This window comes from Homo sapiens, chromosome 12 (genome assembly GCF_000001405.40).
Source record: "Homo sapiens chromosome 12, GRCh38.p14 Primary Assembly".
Lineage (NCBI taxonomy): Eukaryota > Metazoa > Chordata > Mammalia > Primates > Hominidae > Homo > Homo sapiens.
This window is the reverse complement of record NC_000012.12, coordinates 109,406,060-109,426,410: the sequence shown is the minus strand read 5'-3', so window position 1 is coordinate 109,426,410 and position 20,351 is coordinate 109,406,060. Positions and strand designations below refer to the sequence as shown.

General features: G+C 44.3%; 1 protein-coding gene across 3 annotated transcripts in view; it reads right to left on the bottom strand.

The window, feature by feature from the left end:
- MYO1H (myosin IH) overlaps positions 1–20,351 on the bottom strand; it is a 137,912-nt gene that overhangs the window by 21,969 nt on the left and 95,592 nt on the right. For all 3 annotated transcript variants that reach the window (XM_011538223.3, NM_001101421.4, XM_047428738.1), the window contains 10 exons: positions 19,551–19,622; positions 18,498–18,617; positions 16,787–16,854; positions 16,343–16,448; positions 15,643–15,723; positions 14,426–14,517; positions 10,791–10,885; positions 5,384–5,430; positions 1,583–1,663; positions 360–465 (listed from right to left, as the gene is read on the bottom strand). In XM_011538223.3, coding sequence (XP_011536525.1) covers positions 360–465; positions 1,583–1,663; positions 5,384–5,430; positions 10,791–10,885; positions 14,426–14,517; positions 15,643–15,723; positions 16,343–16,448; positions 16,787–16,854; positions 18,498–18,617; positions 19,551–19,622 — 868 coding nt within the window. The remainder of the gene's footprint in view (positions 1–359; positions 466–1,582; positions 1,664–5,383; positions 5,431–10,790; positions 10,886–14,425; positions 14,518–15,642; positions 15,724–16,342; positions 16,449–16,786; positions 16,855–18,497; positions 18,618–19,550; positions 19,623–20,351) is intronic.

Genomic DNA, 20,351 nt, shown 5'->3' with positions numbered 1-20,351 from the left:
GGGACTACAGACATGTTCCACCACACCCAGCTAGTGTTTGTATGTTTAGTAGAGACACGCCACCATGCCTGGCTAATTTTCGCATTTTTTGTAGAGACGGGGTTTTGCCATGTTGCCCAAACTGGTTTCCAATTCCTGGGTTCAAGTGATCCGCCTGCCTCAACCTCCCAAAGGGCTGGGATTACAGGCATAAGCCTGTAACATCTGGCCAACTTCTATCATTTAGAAAGGAAAATGATTCACATCCAGAGGACATCGAGCAAGCTTGTGGTGGTGTTTAGGATCCCAACCCACTGCCACCTTGCTTTGGCTCCCAGCCTCCTTTCCCTGAGCCCAGTTCATAATGATCCACAACTCACTGGGTTCTTTCCTGTCGTTGGGCTTGATGCAACGGATGTAGGAGGGCTCCTTAGAGATGAGGGTTTCTAGAAGGCTGCTCAGACTGTTTTTAAACTGAGTCCCCACCTGCAGAGAGAGAGAGAAAGAGAGAGAGAACGAGCCAGAGAGATACTGCTGCTTCCAACGAATACAAAAAGACTGGCCAGGGCTCAAGGTGTCAGCCCTATAGAGCTGAACTATTGACAGATTGTCTTCCTAGTGGCCATCTGGCCCATTAAGAGGTGGCTTTGGATGTCCTGACCTGAGAAGGCCAGTCTTGGTCTGGTCACGTGGAAGCTGGACAAGCATCTGTCTAGGATGCCTCACTTGCTCAGCAAAGACGTGGTGAGTGCCCAGCAGGAACCAGTTCTGCCCCAGGCCTGTCATTCTCTTCCACCTTCCTTTGTGTTTCTTTGTTGACACGTGTCCTTCATGATGCTGGTATTATTATAACTTCTTTATTTGATGGTATTTTCTTATACTCTCTCCCACTAGATTGTAAGTCCCTTGAGGGCAGGGACCTCATCTGGCTTGTTATTGCTGAATCCCTGTGCCTGGCACAGTGCCTGCCACATATACATAGTAGGTGCTGCTCAATGAATGCCTGCAAATGAACAAACTGGGACTAAACTTGGAACATGAATATCACATTCTAAGTTAATGTATATATCATAAGCCACGTTCCAAGTGATTTTTTAAGAGACAGGGTCTTGCTCTGTCACCTAGTCTGGAGTGCAGTGGCATAATCATGGCTCATTGTAACTTCAAACTCCTGGGTTCAAGGATCCTCCTGCCTCAGCCTCCGAAAGTAGCTGGGACTATGGATGCACACCACTGCACCTGGCTAATTGATTTTTTCTTTCTTTCTTTTATGTTTTTAATGCACCCAAGTTTTGTCTGACTGATTTGTTTTTATTTTTATTTTTGTAGAGACAGGGTCTCATTATGTTACCCAGTCTGGTCTTGAACTCCTGGCCTCAAGTGATTCTCCCACCTGGGCCTCCCAAAGTGCTGGGATTACAGATGTGAGGCTCCCAAAGTGCTGGGATTACAGGTGTGAGATTACAGGTGCATATATTTAGTAGAATCTGTTAGAGAGTAATACTTCCAGAAAAGGGGAAGGTGGCTTAAAAAGCGTAGGTAGTTGGTGGTCATCTCACCCTCTGGTGAGATCCAATTTTGCATGGGTGTTTTTCCCACTCACTGTTGGGGGCCTCCTCCGGTTTTCTAACTCGGCCAGCAGGAAGCATTCCCTCAGGATAATGTTCTTGGACTTGCACAGCACCTGTAAGTGAAGAGAAATGAGTACCACGTTCGCTGTTTCAGAAATCACTACAGGGCTGTCAGGACGGCTCACAGAGTGTGCATGAAGCAACAGAGCCATCTGCTTCTTGAATGCTTGAAGATGTTCCTAATGTAAAGAAAGGGGAACAACACAGTTAAATATGGAAGGCCATGTTCACATTCTACATCCACTGCTTTCTCTGCTTGCTGAAGCCAGACGTTTTTTCTCCGACATTGTCCCTGGTTCAGTGCAGCTGCTTCAGAATAAACTGGCTGTTTAAGAAATGATCCCAGGCCAGGAATGGTGGGGCTCAGGCTTGTAATCCCAGTACTTGGGGAGGCCAAGGCAGGAAGATGGCTTGAGCCCAGGAGTTTGAGACCAGCCTGGGCAACATGGCAAAACCTCATCTTTACAAAGAAGTTAGCCAGGTGTGGTGGTGTGCACCTATGGTCCCAGTTACTCAGGAGGCTGAGGTAGGAGGATCACTTGAGCCCACGAAGTCGAGGCTGCAGTGAACTCTGATTGCGCCACTGCACTCCAGCCTGAGTGACAGACTGAGAACCTGTCTCAAAAAGAAAAAAAAGAATGATCTCCAAGATAATGGTGTTAAGTGAAAAAAGCAAGACGCAAAACCACACATACAGTGTGCTATTATTGTGCAAAGAGAAATAAAAAGAAAGAAAGAGATACACATACGCACATCCTGTGTGGTCCCTGGAAGGACGCACAATACAAAGGTGAGAGCAGTTGACTCTCGGGCGAGAGACTTGCTGACATGGGACCCAGGGCACTAGCTTTTGGACTGTTTGACTTTCGCCCCTGTGCGTGTATTTTTTAAATAATCTATATCACCAAAAGTCCTTAATTTTTTAAAATATTTAATTCTTTACCAGAAAAATATTTTCCCTACATAGGTAACATGGAATATTATTCCACCTTCAAAAGCATGATTCTGACATATTCCACAACACGAATAAACCCACGCTAAGTGAAATAAGTATTATGCTCACTATGCTAAGTGGAATAAGCTAAGTGAAATAAGCCAGTTGCAAAAAGAAAAACACTGTCTGATTCCACTCATATAAGGTCCCTAGAGGACTGAAGTTCATAGAGGTAGAAAGTAGACAGTATTTCCAGTGGCTGCTGGGAGGGGGAACGGAGAGCAGTTGTTTAGTGGATACTGAGTTTCAGTTCTGCAAGATGAAAAGAGTTCAGGAGATCAACTGCGCAACCATGTAAATCTACTCAACACTATTGAACTGTACACTTTAAAATGATTAAAATGTGGCCGAGCGTGGTCGCTCACGCCTGTAATCCCAGCACATTGGGAGACCAAGGCGGGTGGATCACCTGAGGCCAGGAGTTCAAGACCAGACTGACCAACAAGGTGAAACACCGTCTCTACTAAAAATACAAAAAAAATTAGCCTGGTGTGGTGGCATATGCCTGTAATCCCAGCTACTCGGGAGGCTGAGGCAGGAGAATTGCTTGAACCCCAGAAGCAGAGGTTGCAGTGAGTTGAGATCATGCCACTGTACTCTAGCCTGGGTGACAGAGTGAGACTCTGTCTCAAAAATAATAAATAAATAAAATGATTAAAATGCTAAATTTTGTTATGTATGTTTACCACATCTCAAAAAAATTTTTTTTTCTGTTTTTTTCAAGACAGGGTCTCACTCTGTCATCCAGGCTGGAGTGCAATGAATGACACGGTCACAGCTCACTGCAACCTCCACCTCCTGGGCTCAAGCAATCCCCCTACCTCAGCCTCCCAAGTAGCTAGAACCACAGGGGTGTGCCACCACACCCAGCTAATTTTTTAATTTAATTTTTTTTGATAAGGATGGGGTTTCACCATGTTGTCCAGGCTGGGTTCAAGCTCCTGGGCTCAAGCGATCCACCCACCTCGGACTTTCAAAGTGCTGGGATTACAGGCATGAGCCACTGTGCCTGGCACCCCATTTTTTTTAATTGAATTTTTTTGTTGTTGTTTAATCCATTGCAGTTCTAAACCTACAGTGATATGGAAGAGTAATCTGCCAATAGTACAGAAACAAATGAGAAGTGTTCCGTCCTGAAGTCAAAAAGTTCAGGGAGCTTCAGCCCTGGTGGGTGAAGGGAGAGATTTGGAGACTTCTTTCCTATGTGATGTCCTCTCCGTGGATTGGTTTGTGAAGCTGACGGCCATGACCCCAGAGGGGAAGCTGTTAGAGAAACGCTGTCGCCCATTTGTTAACCAGACACGTCCACTCCAGTGTTCTCCACAGCTACTCCATGAGGCGGACAGCAGCAGCCCCACTTTGCTGACGGGAAACCTGCCACACGGTCCCCAGCAGGGAAGGGGCTGGGCTGGGACTCAGACCCAGAGAGCGACTGTCTGGTGGATCCAAAGTCAGGAGTTGCTCGTCTACCTTGAGTCCAAAAAGGTTGAGACAAGCAGTCCCAGAAGTGGCAGAGAAAGTTTGGGAAGGCAGAAAAAACACTCCTGAGGTGACTGTTCACCTGCTCACTCCAAAAATGTTACCTTTAGGGTTAAGCTTTTAATAAACCAAGCTAATAAAATCTAATTTTGCACAAAACAGTTAACTATTTTAATACAAAATAGGGGCCTTAAAAACTCAAGGTTTTAGGCATGGCGCAGTGGCTCATGCCTGCAATCCCAGCTTTGGGAGAGTGAGGTGGGAGGATCACTTGAGGCCAGGAGTTCGAGACCAGCCTAGGCGTCATAGCAAGATCCTGTCTCTAACAAACAAAAAAATTAGTTGGGTGTGGTGGTGTGTGTCTGAAGTCCTAGCTACTCAGACTGAGGCAGGAGGATCACTCGAGCCCAGGAGGCTGAGGCTGCAGTGGGCAATGATGACGTCACTGCACTCCAGCCTGGGTGACAGAGCCAGACCCTGTCTCAAAAACAACAGCAGCAGCAGCAGCAACACTTCTCAGATTGATGAGATATATGGAAAGGCAAAGAGATTGGGAATTCCGTCGGCAGCCCTGGGGGCTAATACCATCTCCAGCCCCCACCTCATGATGTGGCCTTGTGCAAGCTGTGACCTGTCTGGGTCTCAGCTTCCTCGTCCTCAGATCATGTCACCCCAGTATATTCTCATAACACCAGAATGAAATCTCTACTTCCCCTGTGGACCTGCCCCTGCTAAGCTCTCAGCCCCCTCTCCTAACATTGCCCCTCGTCCAGACCACAGGACCTTTGCACATACTGGTCTCTCTACCTGGAATAACTTCTGATCCTTCTATGGCCCAAATCATTCTCATTCAGGTTTTAGCTCAAAGTCACCTCCAAGGGGTGTTTTCTCTAATCACCTAAATTAAAAATGTCCCCTTCAATCACAGTTCCTTGTTTATTCTCTTTGCAGCACTTCTCACTAATGGATAACTTATTTGTGTATATATTTATTATCTGCTTCCCCAACTCCTGACTGTAAGCCCCACGAGAATAAGAGCTCCATCTTGTTCGGAGCTCCATCTTGTTCACTGATGACCTCCAGAGCTGGTGCCCAGGGGGCATCATACACATTTGAATGGTTTGTTGAGTGAAGTGTCCACACAGATGATCCTGAATGTCTGTTCTGGCCATGACATGCTGGAGTTCTAATACGATGCATGGAAAAAAAAAAAATCCAGAAGGCGAATTCTACCAAAATCACTATCATGGGTAATATTTCAAAATAATCAGAAACACATACAGTTAAGTGTCAGACTTACTTCTTTCAGATGTCTGTAAAGAAGATCATTGTTTTTTTCCAAGAATCCTGTAAAACATTGAAGAAAAATTTTTTGAATCAATGTCTCTGCCTAAAAATACAATTCCATCCCAACTCATTGCAAAGGGAAATTCTGAAAAAGAATTTCTTAGGATTAGCTCATAGTTTCTCAACCTTGGCACTATGGGTATTTGGGGCTGGGTCGTTCTTTGTGGTGGGGGCTGTCCCATGCATTGTGGGATGTTGAGAAGCATCTCTGGCCTCTATTCACACTAGATCCCAGTAACACTGTCCCCAGTTGTGACAACCAAATGTATTTCTAGATTATATGGTTTGGGTCTGTGCCCTCGCCCAAATCTCAAGTCAAATTGCAATCCCCAATGTTGGAAGAGGGGCCTGGTTGGGGGTGATTGGATCATGGGGACAGATGTCCCCCTCGCTGTTCTCATGATAGTTCTCAGGAGATCTGGTTGTTTAAAAGTTTGTAGCACTTCCCCCTTCACTCTATTCCTCCTCCTCCGGGCATGTTAGACATGCCTGCTTCCCCTTCACCTTCCACCATGATTGTATGTTTCCTGAGGCCACCCCAGCCATGCTTCCTGCACAGCCTGATGAACTTTGAGTTAATTAAACCTCTTTTCTTTATAAATTACCCAATCTCAGGTAGTTCTTTATAGCAATGTGAGAATGGACTAATATGCTAGACATTGCCACATATCCCTCCGGGGGGCGGGTAACATGTCCCTCATTGAGAACCAGGTCCTCAGAACTGAACTCGTGGCACAAATGCTATACTCAATCCTGATGAGCTGTCGTATAAATATGCATAGTCTTTACACTAAGTATTGCACACTTGCCCTAGTCCAATAGCAAAGAAACACAAATACACTGAATATACAGAAACAGAGTGGCACTGAACTTCAAGGACAGCCAGCTGGGACTCTAAATAGATGAGAAAATTCCCCACGACTGAGAAAAAACAAACTCAAGCACCATGGCTGGTGGTACCCAACAGCATCTTCAGGCAAAGACAGACATGTCATTTCCAGGTTTAAAACTTGGCTTATCTGTCTACCTAAAACTTAATCAGTTAATAATTACATTAGAAAGTAAATGGCATTATAAAGGCAAAACCAGATTTTTTTTTTTTTTTTTAAGTTGGGGGAGCAGCCAAGCATGGTGTCTCATGCCTGTGATCCCAGCACTTTGGAAGGCTGAGGTGGGAGGATAGCTCGAGCCTAGGAGTTTGAGACTAGCCTGGGCAACATAGTGAGTCTGAGACTAGCCTGTCTCTACACAAATATTTTTAAAAACTTAGCTGCGTGTGGTGGTGCATGCCTGTAGTCCCAGCTACTTGGGGAGCTGAGGTAGGAGGATTGCTTGAGCCCAGGAAGTCAAGACTGCAGTGAGCCACGATTGCGCACTGTACTCCAGTCTAGGCAACAAAGTGAAACCCTGTTTCCAGAAAAATGATTAAATAAAAATTTTAAAAAGGCATGCATCAAAAGTGTTTAAGAAAAAAAATGGTGGCATAGAAGCAAGCTGGCTTCACTCCCCCCACAGAAAGCCAAAATCAAATAATATACCATGAGATTATTACCAGAAATATCCCAGAACCCAAATATGAGGATGACACAATTCCTGGTGCTACAGAGAAGTAGAAAAACTCAGAGCAGATGGTAAGAGAATCAGATTTCCTTATCCACGATGCCCCCGCCCCACCACATCTGCCTAGCACCCGGCACATGGAAAACTCCCCACCAACACATGGAAAAAAGTGAGATCAAGGTAGAGTGAATGAGTATGAGTGAGTGTGTGTGTGTGTGTGTGTGTGTGTGTGTATCCTCACATAGGTATATGCAGAAAACATTTCTATTTTCCTGGAAGTAGTTACAAGAAACTGTTTATTATTGTGGTCCCCCCAAAGGAGACACTGAGAGTAAAAGGCATTTGAGTTTTCCTTTTGTTCCTTTCTGTGCTGTCAGCAGTTTATAGCTCTACATGTGTATTATCTTTATTCTTTAAACAAAAATAAACGGATTATCTGCACAAAGAGACTCATCCTTTTTAAAAATTTTTTCTTTTTGTCACTTTGCATTCAAAGAAAAAAAACCCTAATACCTGTATGTGTAATTACTTTTTAAAAGATTCTTAGAAATATACTCTTATTTAAAAGTAAAAATAATGCTGGGTGCGGTGGCTCACGCCTGTAATCCCAGCACTTTGAGAGGCTGAGGCGGGTGGATCACGAGGTCAGGAGATCGAGACCATCTTGGCCAACATGGTGAAACCCCGTCTCTACTAAAAAATACAAAAAACTAGCCGGGCGTGGGGTGCCTGTAGTCCCAGCTACTAGGGAGGCTGAGGCAGGAGAATGGTGCAAACCCAGGAGGCAGAGCTTGCAGTGAGCCGAGATCTTGCCACTGCACTCCAGCCTGGGCCACAGGCGAGACTCCGTCTAAAAAACAAAACAAAACAAAACAAAACCCTGTCTCTACTAAAAATACAAAAATTAGTTGGGCGTGGTGGCGGACATCTATAATCCCAGCTACTCGGGAGGCTGAGGCAGGAGAATCGCTTGAACCCCGGGAGGCAGAGGTTGCAGTGGGCCAAGATCACGCCACTGCACTTTAGCCTGGGTAATGAAGCAAGACCTTGTCTCAAAAGAAAGAAAGAAAAAAAAAAGTAAAACTAATTTCAAACCAAAAGTAAAAGTGACTAAAGAAAATGAAGAACAATTAGACTTCATCAAAACTAAAAACTTCTGTGCTTCAAAGGACACCATCACAAAAATGAAAAGACAACTCATAGAACTGGAGAAAATATTTGCAAATTGTATATCTGATCAGGATCTAGTATCTAGGATATATAAACAATTCTTACAACTCAATAATGAAAAACAACCCAATCTTAGGCCGGGCGCGGTGGCTCACACCTGTAATCCCAGAACTTTGGGAGGCCGAGGTGGGTGGATCATGAGGTCAGGAGATCGAGACCATCCTGGCTAACACGGTGAAACCCCGTCTCTACTACAAAATAGAAAAAATTAGCCGGGCGTGGTGGCGGGCGCCTGTAGTCCCAGCTACTCGGGAGGCTGAGGCAGGAGAATGGCATGAATCCGGGAGGCGGAGCTTGCAGTGAGCCGAGATCGCGCCACCGGACTCCAGTCTGGGCGACAGAGCGAGACTCCGTCTCAAAAAAAACAAAACAAAACAAAACAAAAAAACCCAATCTTAAAACATGGGCAAAAGATCTGCGTAGACATTTCTCCAAGGAAGAGAAACAGCCAATAAGCACGTGAAAACATGTTTAATATCATAGGTCATTAGAGAAATGCAAATCAAAAGCACAATGAGATACCACTTCACACCCACTAATACGGTTGGAAGAACACCACATATAGGCGGGGCATGGTGGCTCACGCCTGTAATCCCAGCATTTTGGGAGGCCAAGGTGGGTGCATCACGAGGTCGGTAGATGGAGACCACCCTGGCTAACACGGTGAAACCCCGTCTCTACTAAAAATGCAAAAAATTATCCAGGTGTGGTGGCGGGCACCTGTAGTCCCAGCTACTTGGGAGGCTGAGGCAGGAGAATGGCGTGAACCCAGGAGGCGGAGCTTGCAGTGAGCCGAGATCATGCCACTGCACGCCAGCCTGGGAGACAGAGCAGAACATCACATATAGAACATAACAGATATATAGAATGATATAACGCAAGTGTGGCTGAGGCTGTGGAGATATTGGAACCCCTCATATACTGCTGGTGGAAATGTAAAACGGTGCAGCTGCTTTGGAAAATGACCTGGCAATTCCTCAAAAGGTTAAGCATAGAGTTAACATATATATTTTTTATTTTGAGATGAAGTCTTGCTCTGTCACCCAGGCTGGAATGCAGCAGCACAATCTCAGCTCACTGCAACCTCTGCCTCCCCGGTTCAAGCAATTCTCCTGCCTCGGCCTCCCAAGTAGCTGGGACTACAGGCGATCACCACCACGACCGGCTAATTTTTTTTTTTTTTGAGATGGAGTTTCACTCTTGTTGCCCAGGCTGGAGTGCAATGGCGCGATCTCAACTCACCGCAACCTCTGCCTCCCAGGTTCAAGCGATTCTCCTGCCTCACCCTCCCTAGTAGCTGGGATTACAGGCATGTGCCACCACGCCCGGCTAATTTTGTATTTTTAACATAATTTTTGTATTTTTAGTAGAGATGGGGCTTCACTATCTTGGCCAGGCTGGTCTCAAACTCCTGACCTCAGGTGATCTGCTCCCCTTGGCTTCCCAAAGTGCTGGATTACAGGCGTGAGCCATCACACCCGGCCGAGTTACCATATCTAATCTAATAATTCCATTCCTACGTATATATATAAGAAAAATGAAAACTTATGCCCATACTGAAACTCATACCGACATATTCATGGTAGCTTTATAATAGTTAGAAGGTATAAACAACCCAAGTGCCTACCATGAGTTATTGATGAATGCATGAACAAAATGTGGCATATCCACATCATGGGATATTATTTGGCAATAAAAAGGAATGAAAGCATGGATGAACCCTGACAAAATTATGTTAAGTGAAAGAAACCAGACACAAAAGGTCACACATTGCATGATTCCAGTTATAAAAAATGTCAAAAAAAAAAAAACCAACAACAACAGTCAAATCTATAGAGAGGGAAGGTAGATCAGCTAGTTGCCTTGAGCTACAGGGGAAGGGGTGGGGTTAGAGGGAAACAGAGAGTGCCTGCTAATGGGTACAGGATTTCTTTTGGGGGTGATAAAATGTTCTAAAATGAATGGTGGTAGCCAGGCATGGTGGCTCACACCTGTAATCCCAGCACTTTGGGAGGCTGAGGTGGGCCTCAGGAGTTCCAGACCAGCCTGGCCAACATGGCAAAAACAAACAAACAAAAAAATTAGCTGGTCGTGGTGGTGGGCACCTGTAATCCCAGTTACTTGGGAGGCTGAGGCAGGAGAATGGCTTGAACCTGGGAGGCGGAGGTTGCAGTGAGCTGAGATTGAGCCACTGCACTCCAGCCTGGGCAACACAGCGAGACTCTCTCTCAAAATAAATAAAATAAAATAAAATAAAATAAAATAAAATAAAATAAAATAAAATGAATGGTGGTAATGTTTTCACAACTCTGAATATATTAATACTAAAAACTGCTGAATTGTACATTTTAAAATGGGGTAAATGGATGATATGTGAATTGCATCTCAATAAAGTGGTTATTTACAAAAATAATAAATACAATTAGAAAGACTTTTTCAAATGGCTTGAACGCGAGGTTAGGGAACGTTTGGGATGGCTGTGCACCATTTCCTGCATGGACTCGGAGCTTATTGTAAGACACCAGGCTGGGCACATACATGGCTGTCACCTGTACCCCACGGCCACTCACCCTTGGTGCAGTATGTGACCTCTCCTGCATAGTGGAGGAGTCGGAACTCCATCCAGCCAATCCTCTTTCGGCCCTTTGGACCAGCCAGCTTACGGCTACGAGACAGAAATAGACACGAGTTGAACTTTCTTTTCTTTTCTTTTTTGAGATGGCGTCTTGCTCTGTTGCCCAAGCTGGAGTGCAGTGGCACAATCTTGGCTCACGGCAACCTCCGACCCCCTGGGTTTAAGCGATTCTCCTGCCTCAGCCTCTGGAGTAGCTGAGATTACAGGCAGGTGCCACCACACCCGGCTAATTTTTGTATTTTTAGTAGAGATGGAGTTTCACCATGTTGGTCAGGCTGGTCTCGAACTCCTGACCTCGTGATCTGCCTGCCTCAGCCTACCAAAGTGCTGGGATTACAGGCCTAAGCCACCGTGCCTGGCCCATGAGTTGAACTTTCTACTTCACTGAGACAAAATGGCACCAATAACTGAAGCAAAGAGTGAGAGAGAGACGTCTTCAATCAGTTAGGTCCACATTGAAAGCCACCACACAGGGAGGCTCCCAGGAAGTTTTGTTACTTATTTTCTGGCCATAGACCAAGATTTCTTTAAAATTAGATCCTTTGGCCGGGCATGGTGGCTCACACCTATAATCCTAGTACTTTGGGAGGCTGAGGCAGGAGGATCGTTTAAGGCCAGGAGTTTGAGATTAGTCTGGGCAACACAGCAAGACCCTGTCTTTAAAAAAAAAATACAAAGAATTAGCTGGGAGTGGTAGCATGTGCCTTGTAGTCCCAGCTACTCAGGAGGCCGAGGTGGGAGGATTGCTTGAGCCCAGGAATTTGAGGCTGCAGTGAGCTATAATTATACCACTAGACTCCAGCCTGTGCAACAGAGTGAGACCTTGTCTCAAAAAATAAAAAAATAAAATTAGATCCTTTCTTCCCATAAATGCTGAGAAATAAAAGTATAGAACTGAGCCACAGAAACACATGTATTTGCATAATAAATTAACTTTTGTTTTTCTAGGTGATGTAACAAAGAACAATTTTAAATCTTATATTTTTATAATGTTGAGAGACTAAAATACTCATAAAACATCAGTTTTCAGTTTCTACAGATTCTTGATTTTTTTTTTCTTTCTTTTTTTTTTTTTTTTTGAGATGGAGTCTCACTCTGTCTCCCAGGCGGGAGTGCAGTGGTGTGATCTCGGCTTACTGCAACCTCCACCTCCTGAGTTCAGACGATTCTCCTGCCTCAGCCTCCTGAGTAGCTGGGATTACAGGCGTAAGCCACCACACCTGGCTAATTTTTTGGATTTTTAGTGGAGATGGGGTTTCACCATGTTGGCCAGGCTGGTCTTGAACTCCTGACCTCAGATTATCCACTCGTCTTGGTCTCGCAAACAGCTGGGATTACAGGTGTGAGCCACTGTGTCTGGCCAGATTCTTGATTTTTTAAAATGACTTTTACTTAAATCTGTCATACATATTGACAGCACACATATATTCTAAGCGTACGGCTCAATGAATTTTTGAAAACGATATGCCTGTGCAACCAGCACCCAGATTAAGAAGCAGAGCATTCATTACCAGTCCCTGAGAACCCCCACTTTGAGCCCTTTCTAGTCGCAACCAGACATGTAGCAGCATAAGTGAATTTTTACCCAGTTGTATGCATTGCATTGCAATGGAATTATATAGAATGTAGTCCTTTTTTTTCTCTTTGAGATGGAGTCTTGCTCTGTTGCCCAGGCTGGAGTGCAGTGGCGCAATCTCGGCTCACTGCAACCTCTACCTCCCAGGTTCAAGCGATTCTCCTGCCTCAGCCTCCTGAGTAGCTGGAACTACAGGCGTGTACCACCATGCCTGGCTAATTTTTGTATTTTTAGTAGAGACAGGGTTTCACCATGTTGGTCAGGCTGGTCTTGAACTCTTGACCTCAGGTGATCCAGCTGCCTCGGCCTCTCAAAGTGCTGGGATTATAGGCATGAACCAGCACGCTCGGCCACAGTATGTACTCATTTGTGTAATTTACTTACATCATTGCATGCAGTTATAGATTATTCATTGCACAGTGATATATTATTCCATTTGTGAATGTACCCCAATTTATTTTTCCATTCTTGATTCACTATGCAATTTCATGTACTTATCCTTTGCAATTTCATTTACTTATATCCTTTCAGTATTCTACAACAGGTCTGAGAAAGCCACCACCATTTACTAAGTCTTTACCATGGCCAGAGATTGCACTAGGCAATTTATGGCATCATTTACAAAATTGGATGGTAGGTATGTTAATAACCCCCATCTTGTATAGCAGGGAAAACACAAATGCAGGAGCATTCATTTGGTCTTGGGGCCAGGCATGGTGGCTCATTTCTGTAATCCCAGCACTTTGGGACACTGAGGTGGGCAGATCACTTGAGGTCAGGAGTTCGAGACCAGCCTGGCTAACATGGTGAAAGCCCACCTCTACTAAAAATACAAAAAAATAGCCAGGCGTGATGGCGCACACCTGTAGTCCCAGCTACTTGTGAGGCTGAAGCAGAATCACTTGAACCCGGGAGGTGGAGGTTGCAGTGAGCCGAGATCGCCCTACTACACTCAGCCTGGGCAACAGAGCAAGACTCTGTCTCAAATAATAATAATAACAACAACAACAACAACAACAACAACAAATTAGCCGGGCGTAGTGGCAAGTGCTTGTAATCCCAGCTACTTGGGAGGCTGAGGCAGGAGAATCGTTTAAACCCAGGAGGCGGAGGTTGTAGTGAGCAGAGATTGCACAACTGCACTCCAGCCTGGGCAACAGAGTGAGACTCCATCTCAAACAAAACAAAACAAAACCAAAAAACAAAAAAGAAACAAGCAAACAAACCAGGTCTTAATGACTCCAGCATATGCTCTTAAATTCTCTCCTGCTTACCTCAAAGACTAAGTTAAATGTCTAGTTGATCTTGTGGGATGTGGTACTCTATATCTGATCCGCATGGTGGTTACACAGGCACATACAAGTACAAAAATTTATCAGGTTGTACATTTCAGATCTACACATATCACTGTATTTTATACCTGAATTTTTGAAAAGATTATTTCATGTACATAGACATGTCCAAAATATAATGATCACTGAATAAAGGAAGATATAAAATCTTTTTAAAAAATCATACTTGTGTCTGGGCACGATGGCTCACAGCAGTAATCCCAGCACTTTGGGAGGCCAAGATGGGTGGATCGCTTGAAGCCAGGAGTTCCAGACCAGCCTGGGCAACAGGGTGAAACCCTGTCTTTACAAAAAATATAAAAATTAGCCAGGCATTGTGGTGTATGTTTGTAGTCCTGGCTTCTTGGGAGGCTGAGGTTGGAGGATCACTTGAGCCTGGGAGGTTGAGGCTGCAGTGAGCTGTGATCACGTCACTGCACTCCAGCCTAGGTGACAGACTGAGACCATGTCTCAAAAAAAAATTATAATTCATTTAGGTTTAATTTCTACTAACAAAGGTCTGGCACATCTATGAGTGGTATACATAAAGATATTTTTATGTATGAAGTAGTTGTTCTCTTGAAGAACATTATCCAAATACTAAAGAAAATGGAGACACAATCATCTTCCCCCATGCAAAATCTGGTAAAATAAAGTATGTACGTTTCGAAGTGTGCATGTTTGCCCACTTTCTCTTCCAATTTCTCCAGGAAACTCAAGTCTGTAGCAGGACCAGGCCGAATGCATTCTTCATCCTTCAAAAGAAAAAGAGAAGCCTCAATCCACAGCACCACACTCCATCAATGCCAAGTTTAAATGCTTTCACCAGCTGGAACAGAAAGTACTGGACTAAAAGACTGTCAATTCATGTAAGTGCAGGTGAACATTCTGGGGGGAAGAAGGGCTTAATCCATGTGTTTGGCTTCTAAGATTTGATAAGGGGACCATGGAACCAGAGGGCCTGAATATCCCATGAAAAGGCAACACTCTGACCATCTGACTCAAAGTCTTCCCAAGGATACTCCACACAGCTACTATGACCAACCTCGTTTTCTCTAAACCAGTCATCACTGACCATGATTACCATGTGTACAGACTCTTGTTGTAGAAGAAAAGCCCTCATGGAAAGAAAGGTATAAAACCAGTTAAGTCGAAGTTTTTATATTTCTTAAGTTCATTTTTCTATTTCCTATTTTTCGTCCTCAAGAATGATACCATTTAGTTGGCATCTTAAAAATTACAGGTGTGGTTGGGTGAAGTGGTTCACACCTATAATCCTGGCATTTGGCAGGCCAAGGTGGGAGGATGTCTTGAGCCCAGGAGTTCAAGACCAGCACAGGCACATGGTGAAACCCTGTCTCTACAAAATTTTTAAAATTTAGCCAGGTGTGGTGGTATACCTTTGTAGTCCCAGCTACTCAGGAGGCTGATGTGGGAGGACTGCTTGAGCCCAGGAGTTAGAGACCACCCTGGCTCAACCCTTTTTTTATTTTTATTTTTATTTTTTGAGATGGAGTCTCCCTCTGTCGCCCAGGCTGGAGCGCAGTGGTATGATCTCAGCTCACTGCAACCTCTGCCTCCGGGGTTCAAGCAATTCTCCTGTTTCAGCCTCCCAAGTAGCTGGGACTACAGGCGCATGCCATCATGCCCGGCTAATTTTTGTATTTTTAGTAGAGACAGGGTTACACCATACTGTTCAGGCTGCTTTCTAACTCCTGACCTCAGGTGATCCACCCACCTCGGCCTCCCAAAGTGTTGGAATTACAGGCGTGAGCCACCGTGCCTGGCCTGGCTCAACCCTTTTTAAGCCTGGGAAAAAGTTCTTCCAAGAGTTGTAAGTGCCGGGTGAATAGCTCTAATGCAACATTCATTTTTCTCACCAGAATAGATATGATTCCTTTATGTCTCTCTTCTACCAAATCACAGATGATCTTGTTGTTGAAATATTTAATTGGCTCCCACTAAAATGACAAAGAGGAATGAATTCTCCAAGAAATATTTAGATGAGCATCAAAGTTGGTTTTAAATTGGTTTTCTAAAACATCTTTTTTCAAAATCTAGTTTTTATATTCAACCTTAAACAAATTATATTTTCTGAATATCAAAATAATTTCCCAGGAAATAAGCAGAGAAGGCCTAAAAATTAATCCTCAGTACTAATCAGGAATATCTCCAATGAAATAATACTTCAGTTAAATGTCTTTAGTGGTTGGGCACAGTGGCTCACACCTGTAATCCCAGTACTTTGGGAGGTTGAGGCAGGAAGATCACTTGAGTCCAGGAGTTCGAGACCAGCCTGGGCAACATAGAGAGACCCTGTCTCTACAAAAAGTAAAACAATTAGCCAGGCATGGTGGCATGTGCCTGTGATCCCAGCTACTTAGGAGGCTGAGGCAGGAGGATCACTCGAGCCCAGGAGGTGGAGGTTGCAACCAGTCATGATTGTGCCACTGGACTCCAGCCTGGGCGACAGAGTGAGATCTTGTCTCAAAAAAATAAAAAAAAAATTAATTAAATTAAAAAAAGAAGTCTTTAGCTAGATGAAGAAATCAGATGAGGAGAAAACATCAAAATGTTTACCTCTATGCCTTCCATTTCATATTCTGCCTGTTCTGCTTTTAGAGTCCTCTCAATTAACAGTTGCTGGAGTTTCTCATTGCAGTAATTTATACAGAACTGTTCAAAACTAGAGATACAAAAGATTTAAGTAACTAAAGTTATATGAAGAGAACAATTTTTTTAAACAAATTATATTCTTTTTAGGCATACTTTTTAATAAAGAAAAAGCAAAGTCCTCATTAATAAAATAATTTACTAAATAGATCATAAGAGTCAAGTGAAAATATATTTGCATTTTTATGGTTAGTCCACATCTAGGATGGTCTGTGAGTTAGAAACTATGTAAATCTAGAGACTTTCTGGGGACAGGGAAATCAATCTAGTAACATTAGCGAAAGATTTAAATCTCGACTGAAATCTTAAAAAAGGGCAAAAGACAGATAGGTAGGTAATGACAAAACATACCCATTCTTGTCAAAGACTTCAAACCCATAGATGTCCAGTAATCCAATTACAGTTTTCCTGGTGAAATCCTGGTCAAAATAACACACCCCATTCATAGTTAGGTCTTTTCCTTTGTGCTACTCAAAACTGTTGCTGCTCCCCTAAACTGGGACTTGGCGCTAAAGCTCATATGTCCTCTGTCTCCAACAATGCGGAAAATCTTTGGGTGGAAGTAATTTCCCCAGCCTGCTGCTCCTGCCTGCTCAGATCCCACTGCAGCTTCCATAGCCATCACCTGTGTAGTCAGACCTTCCCCTTCTGATTCACTTCTTTGTTCAGGTGTCCTCAGCCTCCCAAGCCCATGTACAATCAAAAAAAAAAAAAAAAAAAAAAAAAAAAGAAGAAGAAGAAGAAGAAGAAAAAGAAGAAGGAGAAGAAGAAGGAGAAGGAGATGGAGAAAAGGACCTATAGACAGACAAGAAGATGCCTATCCAAGTAAGAGGACCAAGTACCCTCAGGCCAGGGTGGGTATTTAAAGATGATGTATTTATTTCAGGCCAGGCGTGGTGGCTCACGCCTGCAATCCCAGCACTTTGGGAGGCTGAGGCAGGCGGATCACTTGTGGCCAGGAGTTTGAGACCAGCCTGGCCAACATGGCGAAACCCCATTTCTACTAAAAAATTACAAAAATTAGCCAGGCATGGTGGCATGCACCTGTAATCCCACTACTTGGGAGTTTGAGGCACAAGAATCGCTTGAACCCCAGAGGTGGAGGCTGCAGTGAGCCAAGATTGTGCCACTGCACTTCAGCCTGAACGACAAAGTGGGACTCCGTCTCAAAAAAAAATAAAAAAGAGATAATGTATTTATTTAGTTTTAAAGGGACACAATTAAATACTCTGTATGAGTGTCCTAAGTCACTGCCTCCAAAATCATCTTTTGTGTCCTACCTCCATGAATTTTGTCACATCCACATATCCCCTCCCCATCCATGTATCATTTCTTAATTTTTAGCTTGGATTAAATCCCTTTTTTATTTAAATAATTCCACTTGAAAAGGAAACGTGACTGAAGCGTGAGTTTCAAGGGCTATATTTTTTCGTAAATATGTTAAAATATGCTTCTGTTGAAATTTTTAAAATGTCAGGTGAATATATTACTGTTGAAATTTAAAGATTTGTGGTGGTTCATGCCTGTAATCCCAGCACTTAGGAAGGCAGCAGTGGGAAGATGGCTTGGGCCTGGGAGTTTGAGACCAGCCTGGACAACATAGCAAGACCTCATCTCTACAAAATTTTTTTTTAAAATTAGCAGGGCATGGTGGTATGCAACTGTAGTTCCAGCTATTTGGGAGGCTGAGGTAGGAGAATTGCTTAAGCCCAGAAGCTGGAAGTTGCAAGTTATGATTGCACCACTGCACCCCAGCCTGAGTGACAGAGCAAGATCTTGTCTCTAAAAATAAAAATAAAAAATAAAAAGTTTCTGTGTACACTTGAAGCTATCTGGCATACCACAAGCACTATGCACAGCACGCTTTGGAACACATTGTATAAGTCATTCGGCATGCACCCATACTGTATGCTAGACATGGGAAATGTGAATAGGGAAAGACACCATCTCTGCCCATGAGGCGCCCACAGTTCATTCTCCCTCCCAAATTCTTTAAAGAAACGATGATTATAAAACATCACCACGTGAGCAAGAGCAAGGGATCCAAAATGCGTTGACCAACCTTGTTAACTAAGGAGGAATTGATTTTGTTGACCAGCCAAGTAAACGTTCGTCCATAAACAGCCTTTGCCATTGCATCTCTAGCGTAGACAGAGAGTTCTAGTGTCAACGGGCAGATCACCTGAAAAGAATGACAAGGTGCATCATTATAGGTGGAAAAAAGAAGCCCCCAGAGTGTTCAAAGAAGTCTTTTTTCTTAAAAAAAAAATAAAATAATGAGACAGGGTCTCGCTCTGCTGCCCAGCCTGGAATGCAGTAGCTGGGACTACAGGTGCCCACCACCATGCCTCGCTTTTTTTTTTTTTTTTTTTTTTGTAGAAATGTGGTCTAGCCATGTTGCCCAGGCTGGTCTTGAACTCCTGGGCTCAAGGAATCCTCCCACTGCAGCCTCCTAAAGTGATTACAGGTATAAGCCACCACACACAGTCTTGAACTAGTGTTTAATGATGACTGGCAAAGGATACATGCTGGGAAGATGCTACTCTTGTCTTTGGTTCATATGATGGCTCTTTCTTGAGTGCCCATGTGTGCCAGGCACTGTGCTGGGCTGCCGAGATACAGCTGTAACCCAGACACACAGTCCTGACCTTCATGGGCACACAGTTCATTTGAGGGTAGGGAGGGATGGAGAGACATTCAAAGAATCACAGTCATGTTGAAAGGGCTACAAGAGATACATAGGGTGCTTTGACGTAGAGGTGGGAGGATCAGAGAAGGCTCCTTGAGGAAGTGACCCCCAGGAAATGAAGGATGAAGAGGAGTTAACTAGATAAAGCACCGGGAACAGTGTTCCAGCAGAAGGAATAGCATGTGCAAAGACTCCTGTGGAGGGAAGACATAGACAGTATGAGGTGTGGATTGCTAGCATTGGTGTGGTGGTGGTGATGGTGATGGGGGAAGATGAGGCAGGACACTCCACAGGAGCTGGACCACGCAGGGCCTGGTGAGCTAGGATCAAAGGTTTGGCCTCCCCTGAGGCCACCACCCTGCTGTTATCGAGGGAGGCAGCAGCAGCAGGGAGGGCTGGCACATTTCCACCTATAGCCATTTTTACCTCCTCAGTTTTGGCTTCAATTTTTCTGTGGGTGAGAGCTTCCAGAAGGACTGATGGGTGGACCCCCAGGAGCTGCATGTAAAAGAAATCCAGAATGCTATTCAGTGACGCAGTTTTACTTGCTTTTTATTATTTTTTTAGAGACAAGGTATGGCTCTGTTACCCAGGTGGGAATGTGGTGGCACAATCATAGCTCATTGTAACTTTTTTTCAGACAAGGTCTCACTCTGTCATCCAGGCTGGAGTGCAGTGGCACAATCTCAGCTCACTGCAACCTCCACCTCCCGGGCTGAAGTGATCCTCCTACCTTAGCCTCCTGAGTAGCTGGGACTACAGGTGTGTGCCACCATTCATAGCTAATTTTTTTTTTTTTTTTTTTTTTTTTTTTTTTTTAAGAGATAGGGTCTCACTATGTTGCCCAGGCTGGAGTGCAGTGGCATGATCATGGCTCACTGCAGCCTTGAATTTCTGGCCTCAAGCGATCCTCCTGCCTTGGCCTCCCAAAGCACTGGGATCACAGGCATGAGCCATTGCGCCCGGCCTACTCACTAACTTATAAAGAGTTCATAGAGTATCCAGGCCCAGGGTTATCTGCCCAGACTGATCATTGTGCGTTATTACAAAACAGGCCACAATAGCTCCCTCAACCAACTGGCTTTTACTCCTGCCCTCTCCTTCAAACCCCCACTCTTTAAACCTCCTAACCAATATCAGCCAAAACAGCACGGCACCAGATATTTGGGCCTAACTGTGGGCACCCAGCTACCTCGCTCTTCTCTCCCACCCATCCCCCTCCTTCTG